The sequence below is a fragment of the Homo sapiens genome, chromosome 9, assembly GCF_000001405.40.
Source record: "Homo sapiens chromosome 9, GRCh38.p14 Primary Assembly".
Classification (NCBI taxonomy): domain Eukaryota; kingdom Metazoa; phylum Chordata; class Mammalia; order Primates; family Hominidae; genus Homo; species Homo sapiens.
The window spans coordinates 20,568,222-20,590,424 of NC_000009.12; the positions used below are offsets into that span (position 1 = coordinate 20,568,222).

Here is a 22,203-nt window from a genome sequence, read left to right on the forward strand (position 1 = left end):
GGAGGCTTAGATGGTGGTATTGATGACACAAGATTGTGAGTTAATAATTATTGAGGCTGAGTACTGAATACACAGAGAATTATACTATTCTCTCTACTTTTCTGAATATTTTTAAATTTCCATAATACAAGGCTGGGGAGGAAGGACTGAAAACTTAAAATAAAATGCTAATACCTCTTAATGGAGGGATTATGGATAATTTTATTCAGTATGCTTTTTGACAAGAATCATATTACTTTATGTTCAGAAAATATTTATAACTAGCATAATGATTCTACAAAATACTTCTGGATGCCTTTAGAAGCCATTCTAATACAAGCAAACCAAGCTGTAGCAAGATCCAAGCTTAAGAGAAAACTACAGTCCCCTGAGGGGTACACACCCAAAAATCCATATAAACAAAGTTTCCAGTGAGGATGTAACAAGTATAGAATGAAAAGAATCTGACAAAAATATCCCAACAGAAAGTAAGACAAGTTAATTTCTTTTCCTGAAGGAAAATATCATCTGTTTAACAAGGTTTATTTCCCCTTTCAGCTAATGTTGATTAAGTCCTTGTTATGTACAAAAAACTTGTCTGTATTTACATCTAATCCTCACTACAGTCCTGAGAGGAAGTTATTACCTTCATTTCAGAAATAAAGACATTGAGGTTGAGAGAGTAAAAATAGAGTGGGGTTGGAGTAGGGATTCCAAGAATTTAAGAATCACATCTTTGTCTTTAAGATGTCTCAGAGAAAAAAAATAGGAGAGAAAATTCCCAAACACAAAGATAATAATTCATCTACTTCAAAAAATTCCCAAAGGAAAACTATCCAGAGCCTCAGGTTCCAACGTAACCCTATGTGAGGGTAACACTTACACCCCTCCTGTCCATGCTCACGACCAAGGGGAACAAATGATTGTAAAAGGAATACATCAAGAAGAATGAAAAGTTCCATAAGCCTCAATAAGATCAACAACAGCAGCCAGCATTTACAGAATGCTTACTTATGTGCCTCCCATGGTCTTATTCACATACACACTAAAGGAACTCTTATCGTTCCCATTTTATAAAAACTGAGACTCGGAGAAACCAGGTAACCTGCTCCAGATACCTGCTAGTAGGCAAAAACTGTTTTCGAGACCCAGAAAGCCTCCATGGGTTACTGCACACACCATTACCCAATGTTGTACCTTGAAATCTAGGCTCATTCCCTCTTTAAAAACAGTTATAGCAATAATAGCAATCATCTATCTACACTCCCCAATTAACACCCCACAAAACAGTCACCAAGATGTCCCAAGACTTTTCAAAGTCTCAGAGCTGTTAGAAAGACTACACAGAAATCTACTACAACATACTTATAATATGCTTGATATTTCAAAAAGTACACAAGCCAATGACGACAACCTATAATAAAACTTCAGCAAACAAGCACTAGGGAAAACTCAGCGGTGTCCTTGGTATTTAGAACACCCAGTTCTAAAGGTTTGGAGTGAAGAGACCATTCCAAATCCCAGTTTCTCCACTCACAAGTTCTATGACTTTGGGCACGTCATCTCTTAGCTATTTCAGTCCCTGTTTAGTGGAGCTAACATACCTATGTATACGTAAAGCTCAGTGCTTGACACTCAATGTGAAGCAGAAGCTCAGTAAAGTCTTCTTCCCCACCTAATGCGCTGTGGTCTGTACCTGCAAACATCCTTTCTCCTCCAATAACCCTAGCAGAAAAATGAACCGTTGGCTCCTCATTTGCCCCCAGCTGGCCCAAACTACATTCCCTCCACTCTGACAACACAACAGCATCTATTCTATAAATGAAAGATCCTCAAACTGTGGGGATTTAGCTCAGTAACGCTATTTTGCAATTACTATAATTTTACTTTATTGGACTTTCAGATGGGCTTTGTTTGGCATTTGATTATTTCAGAGCCAATTTCCCACTTAAAATTCTAGACCTTGGCTTTGAAAATAGAGTATGAAAAATGCCAGGATATTATATTGTAAGGGACAAAAACTGCATGAGCAGCCAGAGATTGTTTTATTTATACAGTGACAACAGTCAGAATTCCAAAGAATCAAGTCATAGAATCTTAATTTTCTTCCGTCAGCATTACTAGCATGGTAGTAATAAACAACAACAGCAGAGTCAAAGTACTGTGTTTTTTCAAGGTTATTCACTAACACTTAAGAGAAATGAAACTAAAATTAATATGGCTAAACATAAACACTACACTTTCTAACAAACATGGAAATTATTTCTCCTACATGTATCACAGTTTTAACAATTTCTTAAGCTACTTACATCAAACTATTTTTGTTTAAATGAGATTTCTGGAATGTCTATAACAACAAAACAGATTTAGACATATGTACATTTATGACATGAGTAGAAAATGAATTGTGAACCTTACCAATTTTTGTATTTGTCAGAACCAAACATTTAAGCAAAATCAAAAATCCAAAGGTCCAACTTTTATGAACACTGTTAAACGATTAACTTTCAAATTACTTAGAAATTCTGGAAATTCCTAGCAATACCGATTGTTCTTCTTTAAAAAGCAACCCAATAAAATAAGAAACCTATAGGTCTGGATTAAGTCCCAACAAATTCCATATTTTCTTACTTTTTTTGACTCTAACTTCCCACTTAGAAAAGGCAGGGTTAAGAACTAAATAGATTCTGACCTTTAAGCATAACTTGAAAAAGCCATAGCCTGAAGATGAGTCATACCTAGACTTTGTAAACTAACTACACAATTGCTAAACTGTATTTCATACAAAATTAAGAAGCCATGAGTAAAACTCTAGGCTTTATCACTCACTGAAAATAGAAGACATGTCTTTGTAGTATAGAAAAGCACACAGTGGCTTAGTTACACACAGAAAAAAACAAGGACCACCACGTGTACTCACACATATACATATCATTCCTTGGGAAACAAAGATTTATTTTCATATAATGCTGCAGGTGAGCTTATAACTTCCAACAAAAGCTTTTAACTTTCCAACAAAAACCTTTTAACTGCAACAAAAGCAAAACTACACAATGGGATTGCCTCAAACTAAACTTCTGCATAGTGTGCACAAGCACATGCACACACACACACAAACAACACAGTGAAGTGATGACCTATTAATAGGAGAAAATATTTGCAAAACCTACATGTAATAAGAGCATAATATCTGAAATATATAAGCAACTCAATTCAATAACAATAAAAAAAACCTGATTTTATGTATTTTTTTACTATACTTTAAGTTCTGGGATACATGTGCAGAACATGCAGGTTTGTTACATAGGTATACACGTGCCATGGTGGTTTGCTGCACCCATCAACCCATCTTCTACATTAGGTATTTCTCCTAATGCTATCCCTCCCCTAGCCTCCCACCCCCAGACAGGCCCTGGTGTGTGATGTTCCCCATCCCGGGTCCATGTGTTTTCATTGTTCAACTCCTACTTATGAGTGAGAACATGCAGAAAACAACCTGATTTTAAAATGGGCAAAGGACCTGAAAAGACATTCTAAAAGACAAAACAAATGGCCAACAGGTATGTGAAAAAAATGCTCAACATCACTAATCATTGTGGAAATGCAAATTAAAACCACAATAAGATATCATTTCACTTCTGTTAGAACAGTTTTTGTCAAGAGAACAAAAGATAACAAGTATTGGCAAAGATGTGGAGAAAAGGAAATCCTTGCACACTGTTGGTGGGAATGTACATTAGTATAGCCATTTTGGAAAACAGTATGGAAGTTCCTCAAAACATTAAAAATAAAACAATCACATGATCCACCAATTTCACTTCTGGGTACATATCCAAAGGAAATGAAATCAGTATGTCAAAGAGACACATGGATGAACCTAGAGGACGTTATGCTAAGTGAAATAAACCAGACATGAAAAGACACTGCATAATCCCACTTGTATGTGGAATCTAAAAAGTCAAACTCACAGAGGTAGAGAGTGGAATGGTGGTTACCAGGGGCAGGGACAGAGGGGTGGAGGAATGGGGAGATGTTGGCCAAAGGGCACAAAGCTGCAGTTAAATGGAAGGAATAAGTTCTGGAGATCAAATAGGAAGCTGACCACGGTTAATAATAATATACGGTATATTTCAAAATTGCTGAGAGAGTAGATATTAAATGTTCTTGCCATCTCAAAATGGTATGTGAGGTGTTGGATATGTTAATTAGCTTGATTTAGTCATTCCACAATCTATAAAGCTCTCAAAATATCACATTATACTCCAAAAATATATAGTTTGTTATTTATTTATATATTAATACAAAATATTAGGCCAGGCATGGTGGCTCACGCCTGTAATCCCAGCACTTTGGAAGGCCGAGGCAGGCGAATCACTTGAGGTCAGGGATTCGAGGCCAGCCTGGCCAAAATCGTGAAACCCCATCTCTACTAAAAATATAAAAATTAGCTGGATGTGATGGCAGGCGCCTGTAACCCCAGCTGCTTGGGAGGTGGAGGCGGAAGGATTGCTTGAACCCTGGAGGCAGAGATTGCAGTGAGCCGAGATTGCACCACTGCACTCCAGCCTGGGCAATGGAGCAAGACTCCACCTCAAAAAATAATAATATATAAATAAGTAAACAGTAACATCCAGATTTCTCAGTTAATTAGGTCTAGAAACAGAAAATTTCTGAACTACCTTTTTATTAGTTGAAAGAAAACTAAAATTAGAAAACCTCTCCTTGCTCAAAGATGTGTTTTCTCCATCCATAGATATAGTTTCTCCTTCAAAAAATTATACACTTGCATATAAAATGAAGTACCTCCAGATTACTGACTAGGAGACTTAATGAAATCATTTGGTTTATTCACCTGTTGATACTTTCATATCTCCCACCAAGTTTGAAAACTAGGTCAAAGTAAAACTATCACAACAGGAGAACTTTTTTTTTTTTTCGCTGTTGTGTTTTGTTTTTGTTCCTGTTTTTGTTTGTTTTTTTTTGTTTTGTTTTTTTTTTTTGAGACAGTCTCACTTGGTCACCCAGGCTGAGTGTAGTGGCGAAATTACTGCTCACTGCAACCTCAAATTCCAGGGCTGAAGTGATCCTCCTGCCTCGGCCCCACAAATAGCTGGAACTATAGGCACATGCCACTGTGCCTGGCTAATTTTCTGTATTTTTCATAAAGATGGGTTTCACCATGTTGCCCAGACTAGTCTCGAACTCCTAAGCTCAAGGAATCCACCCACCTCAGCCTCCCAAAGTGCTGGGATTACAGGCATGAACCACTGTGGCCAGCCACGAGGAAGATTTTAAAAACCACTAAGACATAATACAAATAAAAAACTAAAATGGAAATGAATGAAGACCAGAAAAGTTAAAGAAAATGCAAATAAAGTTAATGTTTAAAGTAGATGTTAAAAAGCTTTAATAAGTTAAAAGATGTCTGAATTATAAGATCTGAAGCAATTTAAGAGAACTAAAACCAAACCAGGTTGGGTATACGTCTCCCCTTGGTAAAATGGAATCATGTTGCTACCTCCAAAAAGGCTTTGAAAAACTGGAACATAATAAAAACAGTGTTAACAGTAACTAATTATTGAGCTGTTCTTTGCACATTACATAAACCATCTATTGCATTTAATCCTCATCAAAACCCAAAACTATAAATTTTTCCATCTTACAGGTGAGAAACTGAGGTACAAGACAGATCAAGTTACTTGCTCAAAAATAAAATTCTGTTGCATTTTTGCTGTTTGGTTTCATTTTTTGGGTTTGAGAAAGTATAGAAATAGAAGAACTGGTGACTGGTTACTCCTATTAAGGAGAATAGTAAATCACTTCATATCAAAGTTCTTAAACTTGAAAATCAAAATCACCTATAGGGCTTGTTAAAATGCAGATTGCCGGGTTCTGGACACTACATCCAGGGTCTCTGATTCAGTAAGTTCAAGATAATGTCCAATAATTTGCATTTCTAACAAGTTCCTAGGTGATAATGCCCGGACTAACTGCAAATCACAATTAAGAGACCCACTGCTTTATACCAATAAAAAAGAAACATGACAAACACTTAGAGACACAATAAAAGAAGAATGAATCATGTTCAAAGGAACCTAATTCCACTGTCTGAATTTTCCAGTTATTTGATTTATACCACACATTTTAAAGAACAAAAGTTCTGTGAAAAGTCACTATGGTGTAAAGTACAATCATACCTATGAGATATTGCAAGTTCATTGCAAATGACTGAAATAAAGTGAATACCACAATAAAGAAAATCACACAATTTTTTGGGTTTCTGAGTGAATTTAAGAGTTACATTTACACTATACCATAGTCTATTGAGTATGCAATAGCATTATGTCTTAAAAATAATGCATAGACCTTAATTTTAAAAATGCTTTATTGCTTAAAAAAATGCTAATGATCATCTGGGTCTTCTGCAAGTTGTATCTGCCACATCCATCCCCTCATTTTGCTAGTGGAGGGTCCTGCCTGGATGTTGATGGCTGCTGACTAATCAGGGTGGTGGGTGATGAAGGTTAAGGTGGCTGTGGCAACTTCTGGAAATATGACAACAATAAAGTTTGCTGCATGGATTGACTCTTCCTTTCACAAAAGATTTCTCTGTAGCATGTGATGCCGTTTGATAGCATTTTACCACAGTAGAACTTCATTCAAAGCTGAAGTCAATTATCTCAAACCCTGCCGTCACTTGATCAACCACGTTATATGTAATGTTCTAAATCCTTTGTTGTCATTTCAACAATGTTCAAAGCGTCTTCACCAGGAATGGTTTCCATCTCAAGAAATCACTTGCTTGGCTCTTCCATAAGAAGCAACTCCTCATCTGTTCAAATTTTATCATGAGATTGCAGCAATTCAGTCACATATTCAGGTTCCACTTCCAATTCTACTTCTCTTTCCACCACATTTTTAGTGACTTCCTCCACGGAAGTCTTCAACCTTTCAAAGTCATCCATGAGGGCTGGGAAAAAATTCTTCCAAACTCCTATTCGTGTTAATGTTCTGACCTCCTCCAATGAATCACAAATGTTCTTAATAGTATCTAGAATAGTGAACCTTTTCCAGAAGGTTTCCAGTTTACTTTACCCAGATCCACCAGAGAAATTACTATCTATGGCAGCTATAGCCATAGATAGCAGGCTTGAATGTCAAAATTACAGATACAACTCGCAGAAGACCCAGATGATCATTAGCAATTTTTTTAGCAATAAAGCATTTTTAAAATTAAATTTTTTAAGGTTTGTGCAAAATTTTTATTTCCTGTGCATTTATAATGTATACATTCATAATGAATTTCTTAAATAACAAAACTTGAATGTCAAAATTACTCCCTGACCCACAGACTGCAGAATAGATGCTGTGTCACCAGGCATAATAACTACAGTAATTTCCTCGTGTATCTCCATCGAGCTCTTGGGTGATGAGGTGCATTGTCAATGAGCAGTAATATTTTGAAAGAAATCTTTTTTTCTGAGCAGTAGGTCTCAATAGTGGACTTAAAATATTCAGTGTGGCAAGCAGATATTGTAAGTAGATGTGCTGTCATCCAGGCTTTGTTGTTCCATTTATAGAGCACAGGCAGAGTAGATTTAGCATAAGTCTTAAGGACACTAGGATTTTCAGAATGTAAACGAGCACTGGCTTCAACTAAAAGTCAGCAGCTGCATTAGCCCTTAACAAGAAAGTAAGTCTGTCCTTTCAAGCTTCCAAGTCAAGCACTGACTTCTCTCTAGCTATGAAAGTCCTAGATAACATCTTTTTCCAATCGAAGGCCGTTTCACCTACATTGAAAATCTGTTGTTTAGTGTAGCCACCTTCCTCAATGATCTTAGCTAGATCTTCTGGATAATTTGCTGTAGCTTCTACATCAGCACTTGCTGCTTCACCTTGCACTTTTATGTTATGAAGATGGTTTCTTTCCTTAAACCCCATAAAACAACCTCCAAACTATTCTTCTGCAGTTGCCTCACCTCTCTCAGCATTCAGAGTTGAAGACAGTTAAGGCCTTGCTCTGGATTAGGCTTTGGCTTAAGAGAATGCTGTGGCTGGTTTGATCTTCTATCCAGACCACTAAAACTTTCTCCATATCAGCAATAAGGCTATTTGCTATCTTATCACTCATGTGTTCATTGGAGTAGCTCTTTTAATTTCCTTCAAGAACTTTTCCTGTGCATTCTTAACTTGGCTAAGTGTTTGGCACAAGAGATCTAGGTTTTGGCCATCTTGGCTTTTGACATGGTCTTCTCACTAAGCTTAATAATTCTAGCTTTTGATTTCAAATGAAAGATGTGTAATTGGCTTAATTTCAATATTGTTGTGCCAGGAAATAGGGAGGTCCAAGGAGAGGAGGAGAGATGAGACAATGACTGGAGCAGTGGAGCAGTCAGAACATACACAGCATATATCTAGTTCGCCATCTTATATGGGCACGCTTCATGGCAACACAAAACAATTACAATAGTAACATCAACGATCACTGATCACCATAACAGATACGATAATAATGAAAAATTCTGATATACTGCAAGCATTACCAAAAGGTGACACAGAGACATAAAGTGAACACATGCTGTTGGAGAAATGGAGCAAATAGATTTGCTCAATGAAGGGTTGTGGCACAAACTTTCAACTTACGAAAACACAATATCCAGCCAGATGTGGTGGCACATGCCTGTAGTCCCAGCTAGTCAGGAAGCTAAGTCATGAGAATCACCTGAGCCCACGAGTTTGGGACCAGTCTGGGCAATATAGTGAGATCTCATCTCAAAAACCAAATCACACTATATCTGCAAAGCACCATACAATGAAGTATACCTGTACTTTATTTTCAAACCAGGAGTAATCCTGCAACATTGTCCAATGTCTATTATCTTGACCTCTAAAAATCCCAAAACATATAACTCTTTCTACCTGTCTCTTCTAAAATTATACACTGTTCTGTGTGGTGATTTATCACCACACAAATTTAATATATTTAATAACTCCAGTTAAAGCAATAGTAGGACAACATTTCAATTTAGTATTGCTTCCCTCCTATTTTTAAGGCCCTGAATGTTCAGATGCACAAAAAAATCATGAAGTAGGCTAGACACTAACCTGATATATTCACGTGGAGTTAGGCTCTGAGATCTTTCAAAACACAACATAATAAAGTTTGATCCAGGAGTATAACCATTTGTTTTTATCTTTTCAGATGATATGAATCTGAAGAAATGCCCTCCAGAGAAGAAAACACAACTTTCATTTCACAGCGCCTGTTCTCTTAACCCATGTACCTTTTCAACATCTCTGTGAAATTCTCCCAGCAAGACAAAGAGCCCCAGGTTCAGCAAAGATTCACCTTGACCATCTCTCACTTTCATACCAATATACCAACCACTTGGGCAATTATCACAGACTTGTCCATTCAAATCCATTCTAGCCCCATTACTGCACAATAGAAGACAGACTTCTGCCAGACACAGCCATGACAGATTCGAAAGGTAGAAATAAGCACTGTGGGGTGGGGCTGTGCTTCTGAATAAATCCTAGTGTTTAGTTTTCAGCTTCAAGGGAGAAGAGTGAACACACACACCATTTTGCCAGCTAGGCTTTAGGGTCTTGAAGTCTGCTGCTGTGATAATGGAAGACTGCTCATGTGTTCAGCTTCCTGATTACAGCAGACATAGCAGTTTTCCTGGCTGGCCAGTTCTATATTATTTGGGAATCATTCCTAGAAATTTAACCTAAAACCTGATCCTCCAGTATCCTCTGTAGTTCCCAGTATCAAATCTCTCCCTGCTAAAACTGGCTAAAGTGGTCTCTGCTATCAACAACTGAATCCAGACCTACATACTACTAAACAGAAAAGGATTCCTTTAAGTTCCTATCATTTGCAAAAGGAAATACTCCACCACAAAGGGAATTATTAGTGGCTGGCATGATAGAAGAGATAGACAACAATTTGGAGGATCTGTACTACAGTCAGCTCTTCTGCTGACCTTGACTAAATAAGAATGTAAGAACTGCTAGATAAACTCAAAAGAAGTCCATGTAAGTCCTCCCTTCCCTAGTCATATCTGGCACATAAGATGTATTAAAATTTTGAATCACTCTGAACTAACATCTATTCTAAGTATTATGGAAGCATAATGAAAAACAGGGATTGATTACTAATCCAGGGCTCAGTTTCATTATCTGAAAATGGGGCTGAACGTGGTGGCTCACACTTGTAATTCCAAGACTTTGGGAGGCAGAGGTGGGAGGACTGCTTAAAGCCAAGAGTTCAAGACCAGCCTGGTCAACACAGAAACTACGTCTCTAAAAAAAAAGAAAAAGAAAAAGAAGAGAAGATGGGAAACATATCAAATAAAGAATGACAGGTCAAGAACACTATGATATCTAATACAGCAACCACCAGGCATACGCAACTACTGAGCACGTCAAATGTGGCTAGTGCAACTGAGGACCTGCATTTTAAATTATATTTTATTTTAATTAATTAAAAATTTTAAAATATGATCAATTACTAGAAAACCCTTGAACATTATATTGGGAACAATTCAAGTATATGACGCTAACATTTTCCAAGTAGATATTTTATGAAATCTAAATACATACCAGATTCCAAAGGCTTCACCAAAAAAAGTGAAATACTTTATTAATTATTTATAGATATGTTAAGTGATATTTTGGATATATTCAGTTAAATAAATTATATTGTTAAAATTAAGTTTACTTGTTTCTTTTTACTTTTTCGAGTAAAGCTACTAGAAAACCTAAAATTGCAACTGTGACTTGCATTATATTTCTATTGTACAGCGTTGCTTACCTTAAGGAATGTAAAACATTTAACAATTTTTGAAAGAAGGGTTAAGAACAGGATAAATCAAGCCAGGTATGATAGCTCGTGCCTGTAATCGCAGCTCCTGTAATCCCAGGCTGAAGTGCAGGAGGATTGCTTGAGGCCAGGAGTTTGAGACCAGCCTGGGCAACACAGTGAGACTACGTCTCTAAACAAATTAAAAATTAAAATTTAAAATTAGCTGGGCGTATGCTTGTGGTCCCAGCTACTCTGGAGGCTCAATGGGAAAATCACTTGAGCACAGGAGTCAAAGGCTGCAATGAGCTTTGAGTAGTACGCCACTACATTCCAGCCTGGGCAACAGAGTAAGATTCCATCTCTATTAAAAAGAAAAAAAAATTAAGAAATGAGAAGAAATGAAAATTATATATATACAAAAGAACAAAACAACTTGGTATCATCGAGAAACAAGAGGAAATGTCCTTCTACAAAGAGCCCATGAGAAGACTTTTTTAAAAACATCTCTCCAAATAAGATTTCTAAGTATCCAAATAATTTCTTCACAATTCTGACGCATGAATAAAAAAATATAAACTTTTAAAAAACAAGAAGTTGATGAGAGCCATTATGGAGGCACACAAAATTAATTTCCTATGAGAAAGTAAAGTATGGTATGAGGAAATGTGGACTTGTGGTTAGGGTAAAAGAGCTCTTTGCTCTAACCCCACCCTTTTTACTCACTACTAAGTCCAAATCAAGTTAGGGACACATATGAGAGGCTAGACAGGACATGGTAACAGCATAAAGGTGAGGCCTCCAGCCTGGTGATCCACAGAGCTCAGTATGGGATGCCTAGGTAGCAAAGAGGGAGAAACCTTTTGTTTTCTCTAGGGGGAGAGAAGACACTGGGTGAATTCAGACCCTAAAGTAGACCCCAGGCAGATTTTTGTAAGTAAGACTAATTAAATCTCACCAGACTCGTGTGAGGTAAATAGGGAGCAGTGAGGTCCTATCCCAGTTACACTAAACAGGCCCATTAAATAAAGAAAGCCATAGCTTCTTACCACCTTAGCAAGACCCAAGAGCTCTGGCTCAGCTACCACAGTCTCACAGTACAAAAAGTCTACTCATCTTAGTCATTCACACAGGCACAACCCCAGCCATGCTAATGGTCATAAATGCAAATGCTATCCACTACTTTACTCTTTCTTCCTTGGGAGCATTTAATTAGCATTAACTCTTAAAACAAAACAGAAAGGTTAAATCCCTTCTCTCCATTTATGGAAATTAATAATAATTTCCATTGCTGTAACTAGACAGTGATAAGAGTCCCATCTAACACTTTGCATGTTACGTTAGTTAACTTGACTTTTTTTTTTTTAAGCTCGATTTCTTAGAGAAAATCTCTTGAAAAATACCCTTGCACAGACATGCTCCAACTTCTTTCAGTCTTGAATAAATTCAGACTGGGACTCACCATTGGAGAGCCAAGACTCTTCATAAAACAAGTTCTTAGACTCTCTTGGACAGTTTTTTTAATCCATTTGCTTTGAGCAGTTTTATCTGGAACCTGTGCACACTCTGCCTATAATGGTTAGTCCTGAAGAAGACCAAGGCTGCTAATCAAAAAGTGACTAGGGATGGAATGACTTGAAATATAATATAGTTTTCCTTTCACATAGGCATGGCTTATCAATGTTTTCTTCACACACTCCTTCACAAACATGGCTAGAGGTAAAGCCTTGAAATAAAGCAGTCAAAATTCATTTTTGTATAAAATATTTACTGTATTAGACGTAGCATTCTAATCATACACAGCAATGTGTAAGGAGAGCACCCCTCCCTCCAGTTCAGAGGAACTGAACCAGAACTACAACAATTTACACAGGGCTAACCTGCCTAACCACCTGAACAGAAAAGCCTCTGTCAACATATTTTGTTTTTAAACCTACATTATATTCCAAACAAGCAATGCATGCCAAGCTACACTGCATTTGGTAATTTGTACAAAAGGATATTGCCAAATTCCAATACAAAATGACTATGAACACACCCGTTTATTTTGGTGCTTCTTTAAATTCCATTTATCAGTGGATTCATTTATAGTTTAGGACTGCTGAACGAACCTTTCAAGACCATGTTTCTTTTTGGAGGATAAACTCAATCTGTCTTAAATATAGCAAAGTTCAACAATTCAGACATTGCTGTTTCTCAAGTTCTTTGATACACAGGTGAGAGTGGTAAGTTAGTGTTTATTTTAGGATCATTTATGGTAAGTGGGAGTGGGAAGAGATTTTTAAGCAAGAAATTACATAAACAAAATTAAAGAGGTGTTAAACAAATTCTTTCTTTCCCTTTAGAAATTTAATTTACATACTGACAATGTAAACACCATCCACAGCAGTACTTTGATCTGCTAATTACAAAACATTTTTATCTTTTCATTAAATCAGGAGTTCTAAGAGGCCACTTTAATGACTTAAAGGGCAACGTAAATAAGTCTTCCCTAATTCACACCAGAAATTCACTTGGAATTTTTTTTCCCTTAAACTAAAGGATCTATGCAATTCTTTAACTCTTGGGATGGTTGACTCCTGTATAGTTGATTAAAATATTCAACCTGTTTAGGCCCCTGGCAGCCAATCAGAGACTGGACTTTGAGGATTCCATCCACAGTTGATGAAGCACCTTAAACTACCTCTCATATAAGATGCAGGAACACTATGCAATTCTATCAGGTACAAGGAAAACATTTAAAATTCAACATTTCTACAGAGCTAATCCTTCAATTTGGTAAGAGGAATACCATTACCTCTGGCTATTTCTCTAAGTGATCAACAACAACAACAGAAATGCATTTAAGGCTCTATATCACTATTTAAGGAGAGCAACCCTCTCTCAGGTTTAAAAGAGCCTAACCTTTTCTCTCCTATTTTTGAAACCACAGAACAAAGTTCTATATCTGATGCTCAATCCAGCCGCAATGAAAAATATTTTTAATTTTTTATATTAAATTATTCTCCTTACAAAACTAAGGTGAATCCAAAATACTCTTTTAAAAAACCAATAAGCTGTACTTTTTAAAGCAGTTTTAGGTTTCAGAAAAATTAAGCAGAAAGTACAGAGAGTTCTTACATATTCCCTCTCCCCACTCTACCTGGCTCTCATTTTCCCCTATTATTAACATCTTGCATTGGGGTGGTACATTTGCTACAACTGATAAACCAACATTGACACACTATTAACTAAAGTCCATCCCTTACATTAGGGTTTTCTCTCTCTGTTGTACGGAAGTTCTATGGGTTTTGACAAATGTATAACGTCATGTAACCACTCATAACAGTATCAAAAAAAGTAGTTTCACTGCCCTAAAAATCCCACCATGTTCTACCTATTCGTCCCTTCCTTCCTCCCCACCAAACCCCCAGCAACCACTGAACTTTTTATTGTTTTCATAGTTTTACCTTTTTCAGAATGTTATAAAATTGAAGTCATATAATATGTAGGCTTTTCAGATTGGCTTCTTTCAATTGGCAATATGCACTTGTATCAGTCCTGTTTCACCCTGCTGATAAAGACATACCCATTTCATGCTGCTGGGAAGAAAAAGAGGTTTAATTGGACTTACAGTTCCATATGGCTGCGGAGGCCTCAGAATCATGATAGGAGGTGAAACACACTTCTTACATGGCAGCAGCAAGAGAAAAATGAGGAAGAAGCAAAAGCAGAAACCCCTGATAAACCCATCAGATCTTGTGAGACATACTATCGTGAGAATAACACAGGAAAGACCGGCCTCCATGATTCAATTACTTCCCCCTGGGTCCCTCCTACAACACATGGAAATTCTGGGAAATACAATTCAAATTGAGATTTGGGTGGGGGCACAGTCAAACTATATCATTCCACCCCTGGCCCCTCAAAATCTCATGTTCTCACATTTTAAAACCAACCATGCCTTCCCAATACTCCCCCAAAGTCTTAACTCATTTCAGCACTAACCCAAAAGTCCACAGTCCAAAGTCTCATGTGAGAAAAGGCAAGTCCCTTCTACCTATAAGCCTGTAAAATCAAAAGCAAGCTAGTCACTTCCTAGATACAATGGGAGTACAGACATTGGGTAAATACAACCATTCCAAATGGGAGAAACTGGCCAAACAAAGGAGTTACAGGGCCCATGCATTCAAATTTTAAAGCTCCAAAATGATCTCCTTTGACTCCAGGTCTCACATAGAGATCGTGCTGATACCAAGAGGTGGGTTCGTGGTCTTGGACAACTCTGCCCCTGTGGCTTTGCAGGGTACAGCCTCCCTCTCTGCTGCTTTCATGGGCTAGTGTTAAGTGTCTGTGGCTTTTCCAGGAGCACTGTGCAAGCAGTCGGTGGATCTACCATTCTGGGGTCTGGAGGACAGTAGCCTTCTTCTCACAGTTCCACTATGCAGTGCCCCAGTAGGGACTCTGTGTGGGGGCTCCGACCCCACATTTCTCTTCCACACTGCCCTTAGCAGAGGTTCTCCATGAGGGTCCCACCCCTGCAGCAAATTTTTCCCTGGGCATCTGGCATTTCCATACATCTTCTGCAATCTAGGCAGAGGTTCCCAAACCTCAATCCTTGACTTCTGTTGCACCCACAGGCTCAACATCACATGGAAGCTGCCAAGTCTTGGGGCTTCCACCCTCTGAAGCCAGACACCAAGATGTACGTTGTTCCCTTTCAGCCATGGCTGGAGCAGCTGGGACACAGGACACCAAGTCCCTATGCTGCACACAGCATGGGGACCCTGGGCCCAGCCCACAAAACCACTTTTTCTTCCTGGGACTCTGGGCATGTGATGGAAGGCGCTGCCATGAAGGTCTCTAACATGGCCTGAAGACATTTTCCCCATGGTCTTGGGGATTAACATTAGGCTCCTTGCTACTTATGCAAATTTCTGTAGAGGGCTTGAATTTCTCCCCAGAAAATGGGGTTTTCTTTTCTATCACATTATCAGGCTGCAAATTTTTGAAACTTCTATGCTCTGCTTCCCTTTTAAAACTAAATGCTTTTAACAGCACCCAACTCATCTCTTGAATACTTTGCTGCTTAGAAATTTTTTCTGCCAGATATCCTAAATCATCTCTCTCAAGTTCAAGGTTCCACAAATCTCTAAGGCAGGGCAAAACGCCACCAGTCTCTCTGCTAAAACGTAACAAGAGTCACCTTTGCTCCTGTTCCCAACAAGTTCCTCATCTCCATCTGAGACCACCTCAGCCTAGACTTTATTGTTCATATCGCTATCAGCATTTTCGTCAAAGCCATTCAACAAGTCTCTAGGAAGTTCCAAACTTACCCACATTTTCCTATCTTCTTCTGAGCTCTCCAAACTGTTCCAACCTCTGCCTGTTCCAAAATCACTTCCACATTTCTGGGTATCTTTTCAGCAAAGCCCCACTCTACTGGTACCAATTTACTGTATTAGTCCATTTTCACACTGTTGATAAAGACATACCCATTTCACGCTGCTGGGAAGAAAAAAGAGGTTTAATTGGACTTACAGTTCCACGTGGCTGGGAGGCCTCAGTATCATGGCAGGAGGTGAAAGGCACTTCATACATGGCAGCAGCAAGAGATAAATGAGGAAGAAGCAAAAGTGGAAACCTCTGATAAACCCATCAGATCTCACGAGACTTATTCACTATCACAAGAATAGCACAAGAAAGACCAGGCCCCAAGATTCAATTATCTCCCCCTAGGTCCCTCCCAAAACACGTGGGAACTCTGGGAGATACAATTCAAGTTGAGATTTGGGTGGGGGCACAGCCAAACTGCATCAGCATTTAAGGTTCTTCCATGTCTTTTCGTAGTTTGATAGCTCATTTCTTTTCATTGCTAAACAGTATTCCATTGTGTGGATGCACCAGCTCCTCCATTTACCTATTGAAGGACATCTTGATTGCTTCAAATTTTGGGCAGTTATAAATAAAGCTGTTATAAACATTCATGGGCAGGTTTCTGTGTGGACATAAGTTTTCAACTCATTTGAGTAAATACTTTGGAGCATGATTTCTGAATCACATGATGCATTAATCTGTTCAGGTTGCCTTAACAAAATACCATAAACTTGGTGGCTTAGTAATTTGTTTCTCACAGTTTTGGAGGCTGGAAAGTCCAAAATAAAGGGGCCAACTGATTCTGTTTCCGGTGAGGACTCTCTTTCTGACTTGTAGATGGCCAACTTCTCACCGTGTCCTCAAACAACCGGGGGGCAGGCAGGCCTCTTTTCAGTCTCTTATTTTTCAACTGACAAAAACTGTACATATTTATGGTACACAACATCCTGTCCCTTCTTATAAAGACACTAATTCCATCAGATCAGGGTCCCACCCTTTAACCTCCACAAAGGCTCTATCTACAAATACAGTCGTAGAAGGGTAGGGTTTCAACGTATGAATTTGGTAGGGGCACAAAAACAGTCAGTCCACAACGTACAGTAATAGTGTGTTTAGTTTTGTAAAGAACCGTGAAACCATCTTCAAAAGTGGCTGTGTCACTGTGCACTCCCACCAGCAGTGAATGTGAGTCCCTGTGGATCCACATCCTTCCCAGCACTTGATTCTAAATCTTCACCATTCTAATGGTATGTAGTGGTATCATTGTTTTTGTTAATTTGCAATTCTCTAATGACGTGATATTGAGCATCTTTTCATCACTTATTTGCCATCTGTACATTTTCTTTGGCAAGGTGTCGCAAAATACTCTTTTCACTGTTCTATTTCCCAGTGTGGTCTCATGGTCATCTTGGAGCATGATCACCAGGACTGCTTATTAGAAATGCAGAAGATTGGGCTCCAACCAGTAACAATATATTAAGACCTTTCTAATACAGTCAAGAATACCAAACACTAAACAGACTGCTATAATTGAGGGAGAAACAGTGAATAAGAATCACCAATGGTCAGCCTGACTCTTACTGGATGGATTGGTTAGAGACCTGCAACCATTATCTTTTCCTCACGGGCTGCTGACTTTTCAACCAGAAAGCCTCTTAAAGAGAATAAATATAGGCCAGGAACAATCACTCACATCTGTAATCCTAGCACTTCGGGAAGCCAAGATGGGAGTATCACTTGCACTCAGGAGTTTGCGACCAGCCGGGCAACATAGCGAGGCTTCATCTCTACAAAAAAAATGTTTTAAATTAGCCAGGTGTGGTGGTGTGTGCCTGTAGTCCCAGCTACTCTGGTAGCTGATGTGGGAGAACTGTTTGAGCCCAGATGGTCAAGGCTGCAGTGAACCATGATCGTGGCACTGTATTCCAGCCTGGGTGACAGAGCAAGACCCCATCTCAGAGAAAAAAAAAAGTAATATGGATGGGTATGGATGGGTACTGACATAATCAGGAAATCAAAGTCATTCTGTGACTGGAAAGAAAAAAAAAAAAGGAGATTGAAAATTGACGTTTGCCCAAATCCCAAAAGTGATATCACTGACTTCGTACATAACCCCTAGAAAATCACTGGGGGGCTTAGGGGTGGCAGTGGACTGGTTCTCCTTAAAAATAAGTTCAACTAACCTGCTGAAAAAGAGAGGCAGAAGTTAGGTATGCAGCTGGGAAACTGAGATAGGCAAAATACCATGGAGGCAAATTATTCAAACTATGGCAGGTCACAAGTCAAACTCCAATTTAAAGCCCCTAATAAACATCAAGGAGTTTTTTTTTTTTACCTCTTTCCAAGGGAGGAGAGGAATGAAGGGAAAAAAAGTAGAGAAATAATGAGACTCACTGGTTAGGGAAGTGGGGAAATGGTTTCCCATTCCTCTAAGGAGCCAGCAGAGGGGAGCAAGTTGGGAGGAGAAAAAAGAGCAAAAATAAGAGTAAGAAAGAACTATTCCTAGTATAATACCATTTTCAATCTATCTGCTACATCCTTTATTTTGTTTTTTTTAAAAATGAAATGAAACCTCAATCTGTTTTTAAAACAAAAGCATGATTCTTTCCTAAGTAGAAGATGTGATGAATTAATTTTCCTCAAACTTTCTAGGTAGGAGTCAGGAGAAGCCAGCCAATTATTTGATAAAACCAAGTACAAAATAAAAGACTTGATTCTGCAGCTTAAAATAATGTTAATATACCAATTTCCCTTAGATTTTTTTAAACAAAAGTTTGATATTTTAATTTTTGCATATTTCCAACAGATAGCAGATAGCTAGGCCAAAAAAAAAAAAAAAACAACTTCCCAATAGGTTCATATCTGCAAAGGGAACTTTCAAAGAAACCAATAAGACACAAAGCAGATAAAAATGACATATCATATAATCTTTTTCTTTATTCACTCCTATTATCACTATTCTATGAATTAGGTAGGAGAAGCCCATCTGTCTCTCCTCATTTTACAGATAAGAAAGCAGACACTCTTGGAAGTGACGGAAACTTTTTCACTGCATGGCCTTCAGTGCATAAGAGAGCCAAAACTCAAACCAAGGACTCCCACCTCCAAGACAAGAGAGGGGCCCCCTACTCTTTCCACTTCACAATAATGCCTAAATTCTAAGATAAAAGAAAAAAAAATACTCATTTTAACCATTAAAAGAAAAAAATCTATAATGTGGCTTTCAAATACAGAGAAATCCTTTATTGAAAAACTTTTTGGCTGCATAAATGTCTTCTTTTGAGAAGTGTCTGTTCATGTCCTTTGCCCACTTGTTGATGGGGTTGTTTGTTTTTTTCTTGTAAATTTGTTTGAGTTCATTGTAGATTCTGGATATTAGCCCTTTGTCAGATGAGTAGGTTGAGAAAATTTTCTCCCATTTTGTAGGTTGCCTGTTCACTCTGATGGTAGTTTCTTTTGCTGTGCAGAAGCTCTTTAGTTTACTTAGATCCCATTTGTCAATTTTGGCTTTTGTTGACATTGCTTTTGGTGTTTTAGACATGAAGTCCTTGCCCATGCCTATGTCCTGAATGGTAATGCCTAGGTTTTCTTCTAGGGTTTTTATGGTTTTAGGTCTAACATTTAAGTCTTTAATCCATCTTGAATTGATTTTTGTATAAGGTGTAAGGAAGGGATCCAGTTTCAGCTTTCTACATATGGCTAGCCAGTTTTCCCAGCACCATTTATTAAATAGGGAATCCTTTCCCCATTGCTTGTTTTTCTCAAGTTTGTCAAAGATGAGATAGTTGTAGATATGCGGCGTTATTTCTGAGGGCTCTGTTCTGTTCCATTGATCTATATCTCTGTTTTGGTACCAGTACCATGCTGTTTTGGTGACTGTAGCCTTGTAGTATAGTTTGAAGTCAGGTAGTGTGATGCCTCCAGCTTTGTTCTTTTGGCTTAGGATTGACTTGGCGATGCGGGCTCTTTTTTGGTTCCATATGAACTTTAAAGTAGTTTTTTCCAATTCTGTGAAGAAAGGCATTGGTAGCTTGATGGGGATGGCATTGAATCTGTAAATTACCTTGGGCAGTATGGCCATTTTCACGATATTGATTCTTCCTACCCATGAGCATGGAACGTTCTTCGATTTGTTTGTAACCCCTTTTATTTCCTTGAGCAGCGGTTTGTAGTTCTCCTTGAAGAGGTCCTTCACATCCCTTGTAAGTTGGATTCCTAGGTATTTTATTCTCTTTGAAGCAATTGTGAATGGGAGTTCACTCATGATTTGCCTCTCTGTTTGTCTGTTGTTGGTGTACAGGAATGCCTGTGATTTTTGCACATTGATTTTGTATCCTGAGACTTTGCTGAAGTTGCTTATCAGCTTAAGGAGATTTTGGGCTGAGACAATGGGGTTTTCTAGATATACAATCATGTCATCTGCAAACAGGGACAATTTGACTTCCTCTTTTCCTAACAAACACATGAAAAAATGCTCACCATCACTGGCCATCAGAGAAATGCAAATCAAAACCACAATGAGATACCATCTCACACCAGTTAGAATGGCAATCATTAAAAAGTCAGGAAACAACAGGTGCTGAAGAGCATGTGGAGAAATAGGAACACTTTTACACTGTTGGTGGGACTGTAAACTAGTTCAACCATTGTGGAAGACAGTGTGGCGATTCCTCAGGGATCTAGAACTAGAAATACCATTTGACCCAGCCATCCCATTACTGGGTATATACCCAAAGGACTATAAATCATGCTGCTATAAAGACGCATGCACACGTATGTTTATTGCGGCACTATTCACAATAGCAAAGACTTGGAACCAACCCAAATGTCCAACAATGATAGACTGGATTAAGAAAATGTGGCACATATACACCATGGAATACTATGCAGCCATAAAAAGGATGAGTTCATGTCCTTTGTAGGGACATGGAGGAAATTGGAAACCATCATTCTCAGTAAACTATCGCAAGAACAAAAAACCAAACGCCACATATTCTCACTCATAGGTGGGAATTGAACAATGAGATCACATGGACACAGGAAGGGGAACATCACACTCTGGGGACTGTTGTGGGGTGGGGGGAGGGGGGAGGGATAGCATTGGGAGATATACCTAATGCTAGATGACGAGTTAGTGGGTGCAGCACACCAGCATGGCACATGTATACGTATGTAACTAACCTGCACAATGTGCACATGTACCCTAAAACTTAAAGTATAATAATAAAAAAAAAAAGAAAATTTTTTTATAAAAAAAGAATTTGAGAATTGAGGTATTCAAAAACTTTGTATTTCTTGAAAGTTTCTTCTATGATGGCAATAGTATCCCAGCCCATGGTTTTAATCGGTGATTTTTTTTTTTTTTTGAGGTGGAGTCTCGCTCTGTCACCCAGGCTGGAGCACAGTGGTGCAATCTCGGCTCACTGCAACCTCTGCCTCCTGAGTTCCAGTGATTCTTCTGCCTCAGCCTCCCAAGTAGCTGGGATTACAGGTGCCCGCCACTGTGCCCAGCTAATTTTTGTATTTTTAGTAGAGATGGGGTTTCACCATCTTGGCCAGGCTGGCCTCGAACTCCTGACCTCGTGATCCACCTGCCTCGGCCTCCCAAAGTGCTGGGATTACAGCCCGACCTAACTGGTGATTTGTAAGCAGCCCTCTGTGGAGCTGAGTTACCCGCCAGGAGAAGCCATTCTGTGGATAATGAACAGCCCATTTACAAAGTCATCTAGGTCAGCTGTTAGAAGTTGGAAAATCTTTTTCTACCTTTCCTTTCACCAACCACTCTAACTTAGTAGGCTTCCAGAGCTGTAATTACACACATTTCAATGGGCGTCAACTCTCTCCAAGATTCTTAACATCCTAGAAGTCAGGGTAGATGAAAATGGCAGTTGTGCCTCCCTAGAAAGCATGAGTTCATGAGTCCCCTTTACATCAGTGCTACCCAGACAGAGTCCCTATACTTACTGCTGATATGGGTTGCATGTGTCCCCTATGTCATCTTGAATTGTAATCCCTATGAATCTCCACATGCGGAGGCAGGGCCCCAGTCGGAGGTGATTAGA

General features: G+C 38.6%; 1 protein-coding gene across 2 annotated transcripts in view, besides 1 other annotated feature; it reads right to left on the minus strand.

Moving 5' to 3' along the window:
* The window catches only part of MLLT3 (MLLT3 super elongation complex subunit), a 280,831-nt gene that overhangs the window by 226,553 nt on the left and 32,075 nt on the right, over positions 1-22,203 (minus strand). The window lies entirely within an intron of this gene.
* Positions 17,135-17,184: an enhancer, noted in NCBI's record as "active region_28228". NCBI's record gives its function as "activates an Ori minimal core promoter by ATAC-STARR-seq in GM12878 lymphoblastoid cells {active_cell/tissue: GM12878}" and the evidence as "EXISTENCE:reporter gene assay evidence [ECO:0000049][PMID:35858748]".